This window comes from Homo sapiens, chromosome 11, assembly GCF_000001405.40.
Source record: "Homo sapiens chromosome 11, GRCh38.p14 Primary Assembly".
NCBI lineage: Eukaryota > Metazoa > Chordata > Mammalia > Primates > Hominidae > Homo > Homo sapiens.
Window position 1 is genome coordinate 75,074,841 of NC_000011.10, and position 6,053 is coordinate 75,080,893.

The 6,053-nt window shown below is 43.0% G+C and overlaps 1 pseudogene; it reads right to left on the bottom strand.

Moving 5' to 3' along the window:
- Positions 1-4,330: 4,330 nt before the first annotated feature.
- NPM1P50 (nucleophosmin 1 pseudogene 50) lies at positions 4,331-5,388 on the bottom strand (annotated as a pseudogene).

The window sequence follows — 6,053 nt, forward strand, 5'->3', positions numbered from 1 at the left end:
CCTTGCTCCTAACTCCAACTGTGTGACATTGAGCAAGTCACTTTCCCCTCTCTGAGCCTTTTGGCCCTGATCTGTGACCTCATGGGATTTTCTTTAGGTAGAGAACACTTAGGTATGCTTACAAAGAGCCCGGAACATGGAAGAGCGCAAAGGTTGCTAATGTTTCCATTGGTTCCTGCTGTCATCAGCCTTTTCTCCCTGTGGGAAGGCCTTGGCCAAGAAGATTTGAATCTCATTTGTGAGTGCATCCATTGCCCAGGCCTGCCAGGATATCTGGCCAAAGGCCTCACAGTCCACACATGCACCTGGATCCCGGGCACCTTCCAACCTGGATCCTGGGTGCCTGCTCTGTGCATACCAAATGTGTCTTCCTGACCTCTGGCCCAGGTTTGTAGTCCCTGGACACCCTGGCCCTGTCTTCCCATCCCAGATTTCTCTGCCTATCTCTGGGCACTCCGTCTCCAGCAATGTTCACCTGTTGAGCCTGATCCACACTGGTGTCTCCTGTGTTCCTCCATGTGAGGCCTTGGAGGAGGTGGCAGGCTGGGGCTGAGCCATGGCCCATTAAAGCCTCAGGCCCCTCTTTTCTGGCAGGCCTCCTGGGGTACTTTCTCTCAATGGTGCTTCCATGGGGTGCCACACTTACCAACCCTCAGGGATCAACTCTCTGGCATCTCCTTCAGCTTGTATGTGATAGAAGTGGTATTTGTCTCTAGGCTTTGCAAATAATAACAAGATCATTACTAACAGCCCTCAAGGGTCCAAAACTTTACACGAATGGTGTAGCCTTTATCCTCATTATCCTCTCTGGTCCTCACAACAGCAGAGAAGACAGGAATTAACAATAGGGTATACAGGAAGTCCAAGAGAAAGAAAATGAGGTCTAGGATGTGAAACAGCTTGTCCATATTAACACTGGTGGCTAGAGGAAGAACTAGAATTTAGACCTAGGGCTTTATTCCCTGCCTAGTGCCTTGACAGCTTCAACAGAAGTATATAATGATCAAGAAGATGGGGCCTGGAGCTATTACATATTAAAGATCCTCCTTTATTGGTTTGCTGGGTTTCCACTTACTTTTCTAATTGTACACAGAAGTACTAATATGCACTTCAGAGAAGTGCTTTATTCCAGAAATACCTCCTCTTCCTCCCATTATGTAGTCACAACCCTCCTTTCTCTTTCTAATCAGATGTATTCATTGTACCCTTCTTTGCCAGTTAATTCAGTGGCATGGGGAGCCCCAAAAGTTCAGGTGGCAATCTCCGCTTCCAGTTCAATGAAATGATTATTTCACTCCTGGTAGACTTATTCCATGCTTAGGAACTAAAATGCATAAACTGGCAGAATCCAAAGTTAGGGAGGAGGAAGCATGTACTTTGATTCTCCTTTTTTCCCCCCCCCAATTCCCTTTCAGGTTCTATGTATTTTAGAACTGGGTTCTTAGGGGTAATAAGAGGAAGCACTCCCACCTCCTACCTTGGTTCTCAGACCTGTGTATTCTGGCTAGACAGGAAACTGCTCTATATATTGGATACTGGTTACAAGTATGTATTTCAGCTTATAAGACAGCACCCAAGCCCTTTGAGATATTATCACCCAGCCAACACCCAAAACTAAGTCTCAATAAGTTATTCCTCTAGTCTAGCAGGCCACCTGCTTCTGAGTGATGGGGTGCATTGTAAGATCAGTGATTCCATGGGCATGAGACTTACTGCTTCACTTATTTTGCCATAAAATTGATTTTTTTTGTCAAAAGCATGGTCATATGGGATAGTATCATGATGATAAGGCATTTATTAAATCTATAGAAAGTGATAATAGAAGAAACATTGTAAGTAAGAAAGGCAAATTCATATCCAGAATAGGTTTCTATTCCAATAAAGATAAACCACTGCCCTGTCAATAATGGAAGGGATCCAGTGTGTTCATCCTGTCACCCATAGCTGGCCAGTTTCCTTGGCCAATGGTTCATATCATAGGCTCAGTGTTGGTCTTTTGTTGCTGACACATTGGATACTTAGCAGAAGCTAAGCCAGACCAGCCTTTATGAATCCATGCACAACTTCCTTCCTTGTCACTGTGCCTTTTATTCATGAATCTATTGAGCAAACACTGAAGCATCTAGGAAAGAGAGTCTAACTGATTTTCATGAATGGATCATCTTATCTACCTGATTTTGCCTACTCTTGTTGATTTTGGAGATCTTTTTCTGCCATGATATCCTCTGGTAAATAGTCACATGGCATACAAATATCTTCACAATTTGTACCCATTCTTAGAGGTCTACCACCTTAAACCTTCTCCATACCTCCTCTCCACCAATCTTCTTCTTTCCAAGTACTTGAATATCCCAGCAAAACCATTAGCTTTTGCCCATACTCTGGTATGGATCCATACCTCTTTCCATTTCACTTTTCAGGTGAGATGAACTTACCAGGGTGAAAAAACAGATGCACTGCCAAAGGTTCTGCCTACTGGCAGGATTTACCTTGTTGGCGATCCTTCAGGGCCCTCCTAAATGGGGCTGCAATGCAGCAGCAGTCCACTCAGGTGGCCCAGCATATTTTGAAGAAACATTTGTAAACCAGGCTTGAATGTTTTTATTCGTCAGGGAATTGGTTATAGGGAACTTCCCATGAGATCATATGTTAGAGTTGATGGAAAGTTGCCAACACAGCAAGACTGGGTGTCATGGGAGCGTGAGCTGCCTACTCACTCAATTTAATCGCTCCTTCGAGATCTGCTTGAGCGTAATAAAATAACATTTATTACTTACATTTGAAGAAGGGATGTTTCTGTACATGTTCAATTTTATATTTGGTTTGTTCAAATTAATATCCAACTCATAAGGAACAGCGTGGGACTCATATTTATTCAGTGTTCCCTGGTCAGCCATTCAGTCTGCTCCAGGACCAGGCACTATTTTTCAGAAGGAGAATAGTTAACTACAGAAAAAAGCATGAATTTGCTCTAAAATCCAAGTGGGCTGTGCTGTGATTCAATAGTGCATGTTACCTCAAAAATTCAAAGGGGGCCAGGTGCAGTGGTTCATGCCTGTAATCCCAGCACTTTGGGAGGCTGAGGCAGATGGATCACTTGAGGTCAGGAGTTCGAGACCAGCCTGACCAACATGGTGAAACCCCCATCTCTGCTAAAAAAAATACAAAATTAGCCAGGTGTGGTGGCACACACCTGTAATCCCAGCTACTTGGGAGGCTGAGGCAGGAGAATCACTTGAATCCGGGAGGTGGAGGTTGCAGTGAGCCAAGATTGTGCCATTGTACTCCAGCCTGAGCAACAAGAGTGAAACTCTGTCTAAAAAAAAAAAATTTAAAGGGGACTTTTAAGTTTTGTCTATGACAGTGTGGCTTCTCTGGGACTAAACTTTCTGCCAAAAACAACTGTAAAAGCTGGACATATGTAAAACAATGGTCTGAAGACCTCAGAGAGCAACCAATGGCAGGTCTTGAAGGACTGCAGTCCTTGAGAGAGGAGTCACATGAGGCTAGTTCCACCTGACTCCAGCTTTTTATCCTAAGGTATTTCCCAGCTTGCAGGATGGGAAAGTAGAACCCAATTAGGAAACACAAGCCCCACTGTTTGGAGTTTAGGTTACCAAAGTGACTGGAACTTAAGAGGCAAATTCTAGGAGAGGATGACACTGCAGAGAAGGAATGCCAAAACCTGTGTGTCAGGAATTTTATAAAATCATTATTTAGTAAAGAAAACAGAAATATGGCTGGGCACGATGACTCATGCCTGTAATCCCAGTACTTTTGGAGGCCGAGGTGGGTGGATCATCTGAAGTTGGGAGTTCAAGACCAGCCCGGCTAACATGGCAAAACCTCATCTCTACTAAAAATACAAAAATTAGCCAGGTGTGGTGGCATGGCCTGTAGTCCCAGCTACCCGGAAGGCTGAGACATGAGAACTGCTTAAACCCAGGAGGCAGAGATTGCAGCGAGCAGAGATCTCGCCACTGCACTCCAGTCTGGGCAACCATGTGAGACTCTGTCTCGAAAGAAAAAAAAAGAAAAGAAGAGAAGAGAAATATAATTCAGCTGTTCCTATCAGCATGGTTGCTTGATAAGTATTATTTTTTAATTAAAATACTCAGTTTCATTCCACATGTATAGTTTTGTCTCCCCATCATTTCCATGTCTGATCACTGCTACTACTATGTCCTATCATAACATTCCAGATATACTTAAAACCAAGCAAAGGGTGGAGTTCCATCTTTAAAAACTAAACAGGCATTTTGGACAACACATTGTTGGCAATGGAACCTGGACAACATTTATCAAACACAGCAGGGAAAATTCTCATTCTGCATCATAAAAAGGACAGCCAGATATCAACTGTTACAGAAATGAAATAAGACAAAAAATTTTTAACAAATTGCTTAAACTATTTTCTTAAAGAGACTTCCTCCACTGCCAGAGATCTTGAATAGCCTCCTGGTCAGTCATCTGGAAGCAATTCTTCACATAACTGATGAACTTGGCTTCCACTTTGGGAAGAGAACCACCTTTTCCTATACTTGCTTGCATTTTTGCTTTAATGTCGTCTACAAAACTAGGTCCTTTTGGTGTTTTAGGAGTTTTTTCCTGTTTTTTTTTTTTTGAAGGATTCTTGTCCTTTTGATCTTGGTGTTGATGGTTTTGAGTCTTTTCCATTCTGATTTGACTTTTGTGCATTTTTGGCTGGAGTATCTCGTATAGATTTCTTCACTGGTGCTTTTTCTTCAGTTTCCTCATCATCGAAATCATCCTCCTCCTCCTCTTCATCATCATCATCCTCTTCATTGTTGTCATCATCTTCATCTGCAGCAAGTTTTTCTTTTTTCTGTGGAACCTTGCTACCACCTTCAGGAGCAGACTGCTTTCTAGATATACTCAAGAGTTTCACATCCTCCTCTTCATCTTCTGACTCTACATCTTCCTCCACAACTACTAAGTGCTGCCCACTAATATGCACTGGCCCTGAAGCACACTTCAACCGTAAGGTGGTGTTATTTCAAAGCCCCACAGGGTAACTGTTGGCTGTACAGACATTTTCAAAGTTGCCAGTGTTACCTTAATTGACTGCCTTCGCAATTCATGGCCTCTGCTTCAACAACGTGCAATCCTTTGCACCAGCCTCTAAACTGACCGTTCTTAAAGATAACTGGTCTCATTTTCATCACTATCCACCTTAAAGTGATCATCTTTGTCGGCCTTTAGTTCACAACTGAAAAGATAGTTCTGGGGCCTCAGGGGGCTCATGTCCAGGTCCATCGAATCTTTGAATGGGTGGTGGCACACCCTTAGGTGGGAGAGAAGGCGGACAGAGATAAACAACCACTGCTCAAGAGAACAGCTGTGCAGGATGGACTCACACCAGGGCAATAATTATTATTGATAGTTGGGATGAGAAACACATGGGATTTCTGTGTTTTTTTTTTTTTAATTTCCAACTTTTAAGTTCAGGGGTACTTGTGCAGACGTGGAGGTTTGTTACATAGGTAAACAGGTGCCATGGTGGTTTGCTGCACAAATCATCCCATCACCTAGGTATTAAGTCCAGCATCTGTTAGTTATTCTTCCCAATGCTCTCCCTCCTCCTACTGCCCCCACCTCTTACAGGCCTCAGTGTGTGTTGTTCCCCACCATGGGTCCATGAGTTCTCATCATTCAGCTCCCACTTATAAGTGAGAACATGCGGTATTTGGTTTTCTGTTCCTGCATTAGTTTCCTGAGGATAAGGGCTTCCAGTTCCATCCATATCCCTGCAAATGACATGATCTCATTCCTTTTTATGGCTGCATAGTATTCCATGGTGTATATGTACCACACTTTCTTTATCCAGTCTATCATTGATGGGCATTTAGGTTGATTCACTGTATTTGCTATTGTGAATAATGCTGCAATGAACATACACATGCATATACCTTTATAAGAGAATGATTTATATTCCTTTGGGTATATTCCAAGTAATGGGATTGCTGGGTCAAATGGTGCTATTATGCCTCTAGGTCTTTGAGGAATCACCACACTGTCTTCCACACTGGTTG